Raw genomic sequence first — 14159 nt, forward strand, 5'->3', positions numbered from 1 at the left:
CTTCTAGCTTAGAAGCATCAGACCAGACACCTGCTCAGGAGCATTGTAACTCACTTATTTCTCAATGAACAAGTTATTACCCTTTCCTTTTTGTCTGAATTGCTGTCCCTAGATGCCATTCCCATGGGTGATCTCTACCTGCACATTGCTCTACTCATGGTATTGATAGGTCCATGTGTCATGCAGCCTGAGGAGAAACATGGTTTGATATCCTAAGGGGGCAATTTCTCTCCTTGGGGAAGAGCTGGCTTCCATTGCTGTGCCTTGCCTCTCATTAATGTTCCAGCTAGGTCTCTTTACTGCTCTATTTAACAGCATCCACTCCATTATTGATCATATTTTGTGTAATGGTAGATTTGCTGGTGAAAATGATGATTATGCTGTAAAGAGAGGGCAGTGTTTGGGATCTCGCTTCTATAAAATTTAGCAGTGCTGTGGAGTCTGCCTCAAATAAGTGAATTGGAGATGCATTCTGGATGAGTGGTAATAGGGGTGAAACCAGTTCCTGAGAGTGAGATGATCTAATGCTTCCCTCTACACTGTAAGCCAAGACCACTCCAAAGCTGATGTTTCATGTCTTAGCCCAAAGGATTTAACACTACAGGCCTTTTGTAATCTCTAAGTGGGTACTCTGTACATTTTAACATGGAACAATGTGACCACATTTTTATATTTTCTATATTTTCAGTCTAATTTACTGCTTTATTTGATATATGGTAAAGTTAAGAGTTTTTGTTCATTCTTTCATTATTCTTTACACTGAAAATTGCATAGGGTTGTAATCTTTTAATTCATATCTATTTCTTCTGAAAGCTGACAATTGCTTCAATTATATTCTGTCACCTTTCTGCTATTACCAATACCTTCTTGCCTAGCCTTTTATATTTAACTCAATCAGTCATGATAATAAACAAATTAATTTACTTCTTTTTTAAGTCATTGAAGTGAAGATGGGAGGGTCACTGAATCAGTCAGGTTCCAATCAGGAGACAGAAGCCACATAGCAATGTGAACAAGGAAAGCTTAGTGAAAAAGGATTATTAACTACAAGAGTGGATTGCCATCTTAGGAGTAGGTAATTCTTACCTATTTGGGGTAAGATTACAGAAATAGCACAGAGAGGGAGCAGCCACTACCTCTAGGTTTGAGGCAGAGGACCCAGTGAAGCCCTGCCTCCTTCAAGGTCTCAGTGAGACCCAGTCTCCCTTGGAGAGGACTTGATCATTCATGGCTCACTGAATGGCAGGCCAGTTTCCCATAATAGTGGAACATCTAAAAAGCTGCCCTCTGCGTTGCTGGGGAAAAGCTGCTAATGGGGAGATACTCATGAAATGTGCTGCCTCTGAACCCTGCTGGTGTCCTGTGAATGCTGCCTACCTTATACTACAGAAGTAACCAGAAAACACACAGAAACCAGAAAGAACAGCCCTTTCCTCCTCCAGTGTCCCTCCAGTGCCCTCTACTGCAAAAAGGGAACATTGTGCAAGCTGGCAAGGGAGAAATGTCCCACTATCAAAAGCAGGGCAATGAAGCGTAGATTAGGAAGTGAGAGGCAATAGCCTAATAACTGACATAGTCCACCCCTTTGGTCACTGAGCTTCTATGTGCACCCATCTGCACGCAAATGAACTTCTTTACAACAACCATGCAAGTCTGTTTCCACCTAACAATGTATAGCTATCCTTCATATAAGGGAAGATGTTCTTATCCTTTCCCCAAAATGAAGAGACATAGAATGCCAACAGTCATTATAACCATCATTAGCCATATTAATTACTCCTCAAATTCAGTCATAGTCCCACTAAGTATCCCATTACCCAGAGACTAAGGTATATTGACAACTGGCACAACCATTAAGAAAATGGAGCCCAAAGCTACCTCCTCTAACCTCTATGGCAAACCTCCCCCTACATGGTATCTCCATGACCACAAATCTTCCTCCTCTCAAGCCTTTGTTCCCCTGCCTAGTCTGAAGTAACATGATCCAGTTGATGCCCACCTACCTACTGCTGCTTCTGCCACTTCCCATCTTCATCATTGCTGCATTTTACTAGCTGACACCTCTTAGACAAGGCCTTGATACAGTGCCCTATGCAGTCGCTACCTGCATGCTCATGGTACGGGGTATGAATGACAGTAAAAATTACACAAGTAACAGTTAAACTTAATCATTTCACTCTCCTTCCCCAAATAGGGAAATTGGACAATTTAAGTTTAATTCATGTCTCTCCCACCTCAGCCAGTTAATAAGAATTGAGTATCCCAAAGTCAATGAGGAAAAAAAAATAACTTAAATTTTAAAATATAGTCAATGAGAAGAGGACTAAAGAGAAGCAGACTAGATCATTCGCCCATGGAAAGTGAAGACTTGCCAATACAATGTGCCTTTTTAGTGTTTTCCTTTAATTGTTACAAATCTGTGATTTGTTATATTTGACCCAGTGGAAGTCCTGCAAGTCACACTGACCTATTAATAGAAACCCAGACTCCAAACAACCAAGAAACAGAGCTCAGGCCTGCTTCATTTCTCTACTTGCACCTCAAGAGCAGCAGTGACCTTTGCCTATCATCCGACAACAATGTGGATGGCATCATATTTCTACCAACATCTCTGTTTGGTGTGTGAAGTTATTTCCAAAAAGCTTCATTCATTTAATCCTCCAGCTGTCTAAAAATCTTTATGGGTGACCATTTTTAGCATGCCCTTTACCCTTTGCTCTCTGAACCCATCCAGGTCCTTGCTTAAGGCTCCCAAAGGTCTAAGAGCAGTAGGGGGAGAAAGTGAAAACTGGATACCTAATGATATAGAAGTCAGCTGGTAAAGTCCATAAAATTACTTTGGGGATTAGCTGGTAGAAGAGGTGGTGCTGTGTTTGTACTTCTACTTTCACAACACAAAATAATTAATGAGTAAAAAATACTTTTTGTTTAATAATTGCTGTTCTTCATTAGTGTGAACCAAGGGCACGGTCTATCTAAGACAATAACATCTGCACCCCATATTTCATTATCACCAAACTTCACATTTCACACAAAAGCAATGCTAGCACAGCCTTACAGCTTTAATTAGTTTCTGCCATAGCTGTGAAGGTCAGCCAATTATTGTGTGTGAAATTTCAATATGAAGTGGCTGAATTGAAGACAGCATTGCAACAGTGTGGGATTCTGCAGTGCTGTAAATCTAGTACTTTGGAACCATTTTTTAAAACACAAGATAACATAAAATAATCATCAGGTATGCATGGCTTCAAGGCTTACTGGTTAATTTAACATGTGCTTGGTGGGGGAAGAAAACCACATCATTTCTGATTGTTGCTTAAATTCCCTCATTACATCGTCATTATCTGTGACACAGTTGTTAAGGCTGAATCCATGTTTTTATGATCAACATCTTTTAACTCACTTAGAATTGCACTGGAACATTTGATTTAGAAATAAAGCCTGGTTTTACTGGATTTACATGATGCTTACACACACACATACATATAGATACATATATACATACACATATATTTTATATAGGTACATAATGTTTAATATGTATGTATTCATATGTATACACATGTTTAAACACTGCATGTTTGACCCATCAAAATATAAAGATATTAATTAAGTCAACTTAAGAATATCATTTTACTGAAAAACTTGCTGAATTAGAAAAAAATTTACTAGGGATTCAACTTTATGAGTTTTCTATTTAGGATCATAGAACTTTGAAATTAGAAATGACCTTGAAGCTCATCTGCTCTAGCCCCTCTGTTTTATGCATGAGGAAATATGCCCAAGAATAATACAGGTTTTCCCAAGTCCAAGAGTGTCAGCAACTCAACTCAAATTCTGGACTCCTATTTCTCCTGACTTTCCATGGGCCTGTTTTACCATGGCATAACAATGGAGATAAGATGTGCCACATGATAAATAAAAGCTCCAAATTTTGCTCTCGGATTTTCATGAGATTGGAGGCCAGTTTGCTTTGTTTTGTTTTCTACATAGATATACGTAGTTTAATCCTAATTCAAGCAAACAAATATTTTTTGAGCTATCCTTTGTGCAAGGAACCCTGAAAAGCATCCCATGTATCTAGCATGATTAAAATGTTTTCACCAAGTTTACAAACCGGCAGCATAGATAAAACAAAGAGGAGGAGTAAAAAGAGACCACAGAGTTAATGGAAACACCTGTCAGATTGGAGGAGGATAAAGACAGGGTAGAGCTAAGGAGGCATACCAAAAGATAAGTCAGAAGAAAGAAAATGGAAGAATATTGAGCAGCATCCCTGGCTTCTACCCACTAGATGCCAGTAGTGCCCCCTGCTCGAATCATGACATTAAACATTCTCTCTATACATTGACACATGTCCCCAGACAGGGGTAGAGGGGGAGCAAATTTATTTAAGAACCACTGATCTAGGGTCTAGATTCCAGACTATAAAGTATTGTGGATCTTGGAAGACTTCTCATTTCCAAAATAGACAATTTACTTCAACTTCACTGGGATGCGTGAACCTTTGATCCTTCCATGATTTCCCAAGCTACAGGCTGGGAAGGTAATATCACAGACTGCAGAGAGGCTCAGAAGCTAAAGATTGAACTGAGGTTGCTTGATTTGATGGTTTGGTAACCTATGGAAGGAAGTTAGATTGCAATGGATTAAAGAGTAAGTGAATGTGATTGAGCAGTGAGCAAGTACAGTTGCAGGTGTGCACAATTCTTCCAATGAGTTAAAAAGTAAAAGAGCAGAGGTGATGTAGCATCTCCAGGGAATTATAGGGTTGAGCACTCTCAACCTCAGGAACTGTTGATATCTGGAGCAGATAAGTCTTTGTTGGGGTTGGGGAAAAGAAGACCTGTAATTTTAAATGGAATGTTTTGCAGCACCCCTGGTTTCTACTCTTAAGATGCCAGTAACACTCCTACCCTCAGTTGTGAAAACCAAAAATGCCTCCAGATGATGCCAAATGTCCACTGGAACGTAAAATCTTTCCTAATTGAGAACCACTGGGTTAGGGAAGAGGATTTTTTAGTTTTTTAATTGAAAGTAAAGAAAACTTAAGCAAGTTTTCAGAAACAGAAGAAAAGACAAGGAGAATGAGAGAGACTAAAGATGCAAGGGGAAACAAGGACACACGGGGAGGGGACCAAAGCAAGAAAAAGGTAATAATAGGGAAGACCAAGAGTGCTTTGAACAGGAGAATGGACTTTCCTTCAGAGCAAATAAAGAAATAGAAGGTCTGTAAATGGAAGACAGATGTTAACAGCAGTCAAACCAGGAAGTCTTGATCTTTGAAGCAAAGTTGTAGATGAGCTTTGTTTGATGATAGGATTTGAGAGTAGGAATTCACTATAAAGTTGAGAGGCAAACTTCTGGCCACTGCTTAGCTGGGACTTGAGAGAATACCTTGGTAGCAGAACCAAGAAGTGTATAAAAGATGCCAAAGTTGTTTCTTACTCAATTAACCTTTACCTGCCTGGCAGCAGGAGCAGAAAAATGGACACTTCTGCTGAGACAGAAACAGCAGAAGGACAAGTGGCAAAAGGGAATGGGGGCAGAGTAGGAAATCTGTGAGTGTACATGAGGCACAGACTGAGTTAAGAGGGAGAAAAGGGATGAATCAAGGGATCATGCATCCCAATGAGATTGAAGCAGATTCTCTGTTTTGGAATTAGAGGCCTCTCTAAGATCCGTAATACTCTGTGGTCTACAAACTGGAATCTAGATCAAATGACTTTGTCACATCCCTACTCCTGCCAGGGACATTTGGCAATGTCTGGAAACAATTTTTATTATTATGATTGAGGCCAAGACAGGGTGGCAGTGGGAGTGGGACAGGGGTACTACAGGCATCTAGTGGGCAGAAGCCAGGGATGCTGCTGAACATCCTATAATGAACGGTGTAACCCTCACAATAAAGAATTATCTGGTGCATGGAGTCAATAGTGTCACTATTGAGAAACCTTAAGAAACCTTTTATTCTAGATTAAAACTAGCTATCTTGGAAGTTAGCTAATGAAAACTCTTACGACTTTTTTTAAGAAATTAAGCTGCTGAAATTTCTTTTTTACAACCCTATTATACTTTAGCATCAATTTTTATAGTCTTTTGGAAAGAAGGACCTCCAACTGTTTTTATTTATTAATTATTCCATCCCAAATAAGTTGAGTTTTATAATGGGGCCCATGTTAAGCATAGAAAATATAAAAATAAGGTTGACATAGACAAGCATTAACTTAGAGAGAAGCATAACTATGGAATGAATTGTGTCCCTCCAAAATCCATATGTTGAAGCCCTAATCCCTAGTGTGACCGTATTAGCAGATAGTGCCCCTAAGAAGGTAATTAAAGCTAAATTAGGTCATAAGGGTGGGGCCCTGATGTGATAGGATTAGTATCTTTATAAGAAGAGACACCAGAGATCTAGTGTCTGCAAGCCAGGAAGACAGGCCTCACCAGAAACCTGCCATGCTAGCACCCTGATCTCTGTCCTCTCTCCCCAAGAACTGTGAGAAAATAAATGTCTATTGTTTAAACCACCCAATGTCTAGTATTTTAATATAGTAGCCTAAGCAGACCAAGACAGAATATTCTCCTGTTTTGTTGCTATTGTTAATTTAGTTCATTTATTCTAACACTTGTCCTAAGCAAATGCTAAGAAGCCAGTTTTGTCTTAGGAGTCTTCCCATTCTAACCGAACTTCTTATTCTCCACTCTTCTCCCCATCTTTGGCAGTAAGGAAAAGAGATTGTACTTCAAAATTAGACAGACCTGTGCAAATTCTAGCACCTAACCTAAAAAGCACCAGGTTCGTTTTCCTCATGTATGGAAAGGGGCGAAATCACATTTACTTGCAGGTGTATTATATGACTTAAGTGAAAAATCAGGTGAGAATGCCTAATATTGTTAAATTGAGACATGGCAGTCTCTCAATAGATAACACTTCTGATCCTCTTGGATCAGAATTGTAGTCAAAGGTTGTTTTCCGAAATTATTTGGTTTGCTCTTCCCAACTGTGTCATTAGGTGCTGGCCTAAAGAGGCTAAAGTTTTCTCTCTCCCAAAGAATTTTGATAACTGGAAAATCCTCATTGTCTAACAATTAAAACTTCATGATAAATTTCTGACCCCATAACAAGAGGAAGAAGCAATGATATGTTGAGGTGTGAGTACCTGAGTAGTACCTAAAATGAAGTAAATATATAGTTTCTACTAAAGAAAAAAGAAACAAAATAAAGCCCAATTGCGTTTATTCCCAGAATGTTTCAACATTTAAGCAATTCACTTAGCATTTTTTTTGTGACATAAAGTGAAGCAGGAAAATATCTACAATCTATATTATATCTATTAATCCTTGCAGTTTACAACATGCTTATTTTGTGTCAAGTGCTGTGCTGAGCTGTTGACATCTACCAACTCATTTAGCCCTTCCAGAAGCCCTTCCTTCACTAGCATGTCCAACTGGATTATGAAGTGAGGATGGGAGCCTCCATCTGATATTTATGACCGTCCCTTCCTTTGTGCAACAAGTGAAACTGTGTAATGCTGACTCATCTCACCCAGATAAGCAGAGTTGTAAGGACTCCTGGAGGTGTTGGGTGGTGTCTGGGCCAGTTTCATCTGGGAAATGATTATCACAAGTTTCAGATCAATTTTGGGGAGCTTTCTTCAAACAAGATCCAGAATCATCTTATCTTCACCCTCTTTCAAGTATCGATAAAAGGGACAAAGGCTCTTTTCATGAGGAAATGTTCATACTCTGCAGCCGTTCAAAATACAAGTAGTCTCTCTGGTTCATTATCTGGAATCATATAGAACTCCATGGTTGAGAGGAGGGGAGGGATGGTGGATGCACTCCTCTGACAAGCAGGAAATATGGGTCCTCTTGCTCTGTGACGGGGTCAGGACACCTAATGTCCCAAGCTGCCCTTCTAATAGAGATTATAAAAGAGACCATAAGACCAAAGAATTGCATGATGGGTACCCATTAGAGCATGCCTTGCCCTTTGCCTTCCAGGCTTCAGCCTCTAAACTTAACTTTCTCCTAGCTGACAACACAAATTGGAGGCTAAAATGCCAGGCAGGGATCTGTCTTGGCCTTTTGTTACATGGTCTACCTCCTTCAGATTTCCAAGACAACTGGAGCCATGCTGGCAGAGAACTTGCTAAGTCTTAACAGACGTTGATGGACTCATTGTTTATTCTCTCAGTTCACTAGTATATGCTGCATAAAGTCAGGGACCTGCCTGTCCTCATCACTGCTATATCACCACTCCTAGCAAGTGCCAGGCACATCTCAGGCACTCAGGAAATGATGGCAGGAAGGAGGGAAGGGAGGAATGGAGGAAGGGAGGAAGGAAGGAAGGAAGGGAGGGAGGGATGAAGGGAGGGAGGGAAGGGGAGAGGAGAGGAGAGAAGAAAAGAAGAAAGAAGTCATCCTAGACCCTAAACAAGATGAAGAAACCCAAAGAATGCAGTACATAGTACACTAGGATTCCTTTCAGTATCAAAATCCAATACTGCAGTTGGAAGAATTCTCATAAATATTACTGAGCTCAGCCTCTCCTTTACTCAAGTCCACAGGGTTAAGCGGTTTACTGTGGTCACACACAAGTTTGTAGCAGAGGCCTCCTGGCCCTGAGTCCAAGAGCTTTTCCCTTACACTCTGTGGCTTCTCAGGTGAGTTTTTCTGGTGTCTGCATTAACATTCTCTGTCTTTAAAAAGCACAGTGCACTTCACTTAGGGCCATTAAGAAATAAATGATGTATTTATTTGTTTATTTAATGAAGTAGGTGGATAGAATCAGTTTTGAATTTTTTTTTTCTGTGAGTAATTTTTTTATTTTTATTTTTTAACTTTTGTTTTAGGTTCAGGGATACATGTGCATGTTTGTTACATAGGTAAATTGTATGTCACACGGGTTTGGTGTACAGATTATCTCATCATCCAGGTAATAAGCATAGTACTCAATAAATTTTTTGATCTTCATCTAGTTTTGAATTTTGGTAACAAAGCATTTCCTGTTTCTGGTATGCATATATGTGGATTTGCATGTGTTTTCCCTTGTAGTTTAAAGAGCAGAACAAGATAAAAATCAGTAGGGGTTTTCTCACCAAAGGAGAATAATTTTAGGGGAATTCAAGGGCTCAAATTCTCAACAATGTCCTTTTATTAAAAAAAAAAAGTGCCTCTACAATTTTGAAATTGAGACAGTGGTGACATTTAATAAAAAGATTTCGAGATTTCAAATCCTGAACTATGGCTGTGTGCAAACTGACAATTGTGACTTGAAAGAAATTATCTTATAATTCCCAAGTTTAATACCATGCCTATGAATAAGGAAACTGAGCCAATCAGGATTTCTCAGGAGACAGCAAGTGGACCGCTACCCACCTAGGAAGGGCAAGCTGCTGAGACCTGATGCCAAAACAAGAAGAGGTTCTGCAGCGAGGGGGAGGCACCTTCACACATGGAGCAAAAGGGCTCACGGCCACTCTCTCAACCTCCTCTAGTCCCTGGACCAGAACCAAGAGCTGTTGTAGGAGTAGTTTCCAAAGAGTATAATCTTAGGAGTTTCAAATTTCAGATATTATATTTACACAGTGCTTTTAACTTTCTAATTGTCTTTTTCCTGTTAATTAGTGTTAACACCCTCCTCCCCACCACAAGGACTAGAAGGCACTATTTTGTGTCCATTTTTAAAATAAGGAACCAGAGAATAAAAAAGTTAGAGAATCTCTGAGCCCAGAGTAGAAATCTCGTTCCTAGCCACCAGTTCCATGGTCTTTCTCCTAGACCTTTCTGGGAATTTTTTTTCCTTTTTTGGCAGACAAATGGTTATGCTAAAAATTTAAAACTAGAAGCAAAAATACTGGAAATGGCAAACTGTATTCTAATTGCCTCCCCTGGATTTCCTACTCCTGTAAATATGGACAAATATAGTGGTATAAATGAAATCCACAAGTATTAAGGACCACCGTATTGGAAAGATGAAGCCACTTCCTCATAGAGCTATCTAAAGAACAAGTATAGCTAACATGCTGCTAATCTTTAGCATGCTGTTAATTTTGAGTTACATGTTCTCCACCTTCCTCAGCAATCCTTTGGATGGCAGTTCCAATGTATGAAGCAATGGACACAAGGATCAAAACACACAGTTTTGGAATAACTGGCCCCCAGGTAACTAAGAGATGACTGTCCTCCCGTAACCTAACTAACTGGTTCCTTCTACCAAGTAATAAACAACCTTCCGGAAGCCACTTTTCCATCCCTTGGAAAAACGTCTTTCAAGGATATCTCTAATGCAGTTTTCTAGCCCTGGGATTCAATATTTCAAGAAATACCTTTAAGCCAACTAAACCTCTAGAGATTTTTCTGTTTTCACTCAACTCTTGTTTCAGTTCCAATATTTCTAGGAAAACATTGATTTACTGTGGTAAATTACGAGATGTTTTTAACGTTGGATGCAGTGTATCTGATTTGTGATCTCTAGGCCTCAGATGTTTTATAGCAGAAGTTAAAATTCTACACTGCAGGCTGGCATGGATAGGCTCACCTGTAAGCCCATAAAACCCTCCACCAGATGTGTTGCTTCTTTTCTCACACCTCTGACTCCACTTTCCTTGATTCGTCATGATCCACTTCAATAAATTAGTGATGCATAATTTCAAACAGCTGATTTCAGACTAGTCCTAAAGTGATCTAAGTGTCATGCTGAAAGGCACAGATGCTGAAGCTTGATGGAGATTGGCTGCACATGATGGTGGGAATCACAAAAGCAGAAAGGTATGCTTGATGTATCTGAAAAAAGCAAAAAAGCCTAAGCTTCCAAGTGTAATAGTTGCCTATTAGGTTGTTTGCTCTTCCAAACAGTAAGATCTGTGAGGTCTTGTGTCTGTCCTATTCATCATCAAATATTCAGTACCTACTCCTGAGCCCAGTGCAGGGGAGGGGAACAGTAAATATTTGTAGAAGGGATGAATGAAAGGTAGGCCAAATGAGCCATGAGGAGGGAGAAGCACAAGTTCAAGTCATCAAAATCTAAAGCTGAATTTTTCAACTTATTTCCTCCTTTCTATTCAGCGATACTTGCAAATCTCGAGAAAACTTATTGTCATTTTTTTTTTCAGTTGGGCTGAACTGCACAATCATCAACTTCCCTGTTGACTCTGCCTCTAAAGACAATAGGTCTTGGGTTCAAGCTCCACGTGGATCTGTTAGTGCCTTTTTCTGTTTTATGGCCAGAGATGCAAATTACATCTATGTTTATTCCTCTTGCTATCTATGTCTTTTAATGTTTCACACTCTGCATAGGAAAAGTACTTTGTAACATCTAATTCTAGTCCTCCCTGTCACAATTTAAACCCATCCCTATTCTGCGTTGGGGGAGGACAAAAGACAACTCTTGATTAACTTTCATGCCCCATTTTGATTCCTTTCTGGATCAGTTAGCTTTTGCTGTATAACAAACCACCCTCATTAGTGGCTTAAAACAACAACCACTTTAATTAGCTCATGATTCTGTGTATTATCAATTTGTGTTGGGCTCATTCAGGTGGTTTTACTCGAGTGATCTGGGCTCAACTGTCCTTGACTGGGCTTACTCATATATTTAGGGGCCCCAAAAGATGCTGTGAATAGCCAAAGGATGGTACCTCCCTCTGCAAGGTCTCTCATTCTCCAGGAAGCTGAACCAGCATTGTTCATATGGTGGCAGAGGATAACAAAAGCTATAAAAACTTGGAAAGCCTAGTTCAGGAGTCAATTATAATTTCTGCCACATTCTATTGGTCAAATCAAATCACCAGGCCAGCCCAGATTTAAAGGGTACAGAAATAAATTTCCCTTCTTGATAGGAAGAATTTGTGACCATTTTTGTAATCTACTACACCATCCTAGGGTTCCTTCAGTTTCTTCAGTCTCATCTTTTCCTCACATTTTCCCCAAATAAGTCTTTTTTCTGTTCATTTGGGATGCAACTTTAAGACTCCATGTATATCTTAATCATTTATTCCATAAAAACTTATTAGGCATCTGCTGTATATAAAGATCCATGGTAGGCTCAAAGTCTACCAAAGCATGGTTCTTAACACTTAAGGGGCTTAAGGATAGAGGATCAAGCAAATAATTAAGAACTAGAAAGTGAAGAAAAATTAAAGAATCTTAGTAACAATGAGAACATGATTCAGGGTCATTAAACTCAAGTCAGAAAGAGAGAGCCAGAAAAGATTACTGGAAAAGATGGTGCTTAAATGAGTAGGAGCCATATAGATCAGTACTACTCAAAGTGTGGTCTGTGGACTAGTGGCAGTATGCGAACTGTTCGTTACTGGTTTGATGCAAGAGAAGAGTAAGAGTTTGGAAATTATAATAGTAACTTGGTATTGCTGCAAAGTGCAAGCATGTGATTTTGAAAAATTGTCTGTGACAAATTTAAATTTAATTTCTTAAATGATCCATCATCATAGATAGTCTGAGATGTACTGACTAGGTAAAAAAAGTGGACAGAATGCCCCAAGCTAAGGAAATAGCATGTGGATGTTAGGCTGAATAATGAACCCCCAAAAGATATCCAAGTCCTAATCTCTAGAACCCATAAATGTTCTCTCATATGGAAAAAGGGTTTTGCAGATGTGATTAAGTTAAGAATTTTTAGACAAGGAGATGACCCTGGATTATCTGGGTGGGCCCTAAATGTAATCACATTTGTTCTTGTAAGAGGGGAGCAGAGGGATATTTGACACTGACAGAAGAGGAGAAGGCAATGTGGCCTTGGAAGCAGAAACGGATTAACATGGCCATGAACCAAAGAATGAGGGCAGCCACCAAAAGTCAGAAGAGACACGGAATGGATTCTTCCCTAAAGCCTCCAGAGGGAGAGTAAACCTATCTACATGTTGATTTTGGACTTCTGGGATGCAGAACTGTGAGGGAATAAATGTCTGATGCTTAAGACTCCAAGTTTATGGTAATTTGTCACAACATTCATAGGAGACTAACACACAATTATGAAGACAAGGGAGCATGAAGCAGCTCGATATATTCAGGGATCTGTAAGGAGCTAGACAGTAACTAAAGGAAAATACACATGTAGGGAGGAGTAGTAAGGATAGGGAGAAAGAAGGAGGCAAGGACTGGGAAGAACAAGGATCCCAACTTCATCTCATACTGGGGTTGGAATAATTAAAGAGAAAGACTTTAGAAACCATTCAGTTCTTAGTTGGCAGAGTGTAGTTGTATCCTATATGGACTAAAGCACAAAGGAATATTGTCTTTTGAACTCAATGCAAGAAAAACGAGCACGCCTTGCATGCATCTATAAATTCAAACCAAGTTGTGTGAATTGATGTGTACTCTAAGCCCAGCTTTCTCAGGGGAGAAGAACAAGCCAAATCTGATGATAAAAGAGAAGAAGGTATATTATTTACCTGGTTCATAAGGAGTGGATGCTATAACAAGCTAAGAGCTAGTAAAAACAAATCTTCCAATTTGTCTAGCCTGAAACACACACACACTCAGATACATTGTAAAACCAGCCTATCATACTAACCTAAAGGAAAAAGGAAGACCATTTAAAAAAAAAAAAAGAGTGAGGGAAGACTGAGGACTGGCAATTGCTAGTGACATGTTTACTAAATATATTCTAAAACATTAAACATAACATTGGAAAGCAAAGGAGCCAAGTGGTTGGAGAAGCCCACTGATTACTATTCAGGTTTGGTCTCTGATCTGCTTTCTCGGCACTTGGCTTCACAACCAGAGCTCAGCCAAATAAATCTGCATCTCTGGCATCTCCAGGCAACTCCAAACTTGGCATTTCTGACACAGGAGAGCTAGCCAGGAAACCCCTCTTTGGAGGGGAACCAATGGGCCAGATTCACTCTATCAACATCCAGACATCATAGCTAATTACAAACACACAGGACCAACCTGACAGCCAGCTCTGTAAGTAGCAGACACCAGCATTCCACAGGGAACTGGCTTGGCTTCAGTGAGTACTCCCAGTGACGAGAACCCTTTTAAGCAAGACACTCCAAGGGCTCACCAGATTGTGTTGGGTTTTGTGTGGCCATGTAAAGACATTCTCCCACCAGCCCCCAACCCTAGGAAAACCAAATTTCTATTCAGAGAAAGTAAATGGAAATCTCTATCAATAAGAGTATATTCAA

General features: G+C 39.7%; 2 long non-coding RNA genes across 2 annotated transcripts in view, besides 1 other annotated feature; both read left to right on the plus strand.

Annotated features, from left to right (window-relative positions):
• Positions 1-11383, plus strand: part of LOC101927661 (uncharacterized) — a 31167-nt gene extending 19784 nt beyond the window's left edge. Inside the window, exons 3-4 of the long non-coding RNA NR_110568.1 lie at positions 10088-10170; positions 11121-11383. This is a non-coding gene — a long non-coding RNA (uncharacterized LOC101927661). The remainder of the gene's footprint in view (positions 1-10087; positions 10171-11120) is intronic.
• LINC01828 (long intergenic non-protein coding RNA 1828) overlaps positions 1-14159 on the plus strand; it is a 202799-nt gene that overhangs the window by 146746 nt on the left and 41894 nt on the right. The window lies entirely within an intron of this gene.
• Positions 2250-3691: an enhancer, noted in NCBI's record as "HHc2:066644 HCNR fragment used in the ZED reporter construct". NCBI's record gives its function as "activates a minimal GATA promoter in hindbrain, branchial arches, neural tube and otic vesicles of 24-48 hpf transgenic zebrafish embryos {active_cell/tissue: hindbrain | branchial arch | neural tube | otic vesicle}" and the evidence as "EXISTENCE:transgenic organism evidence [ECO:0001131][PMID:22448256]".

The sequence above is a fragment of the Homo sapiens genome, chromosome 2, assembly GCF_000001405.40.
Source record: "Homo sapiens chromosome 2, GRCh38.p14 Primary Assembly".
Lineage (NCBI taxonomy): Eukaryota > Metazoa > Chordata > Mammalia > Primates > Hominidae > Homo > Homo sapiens.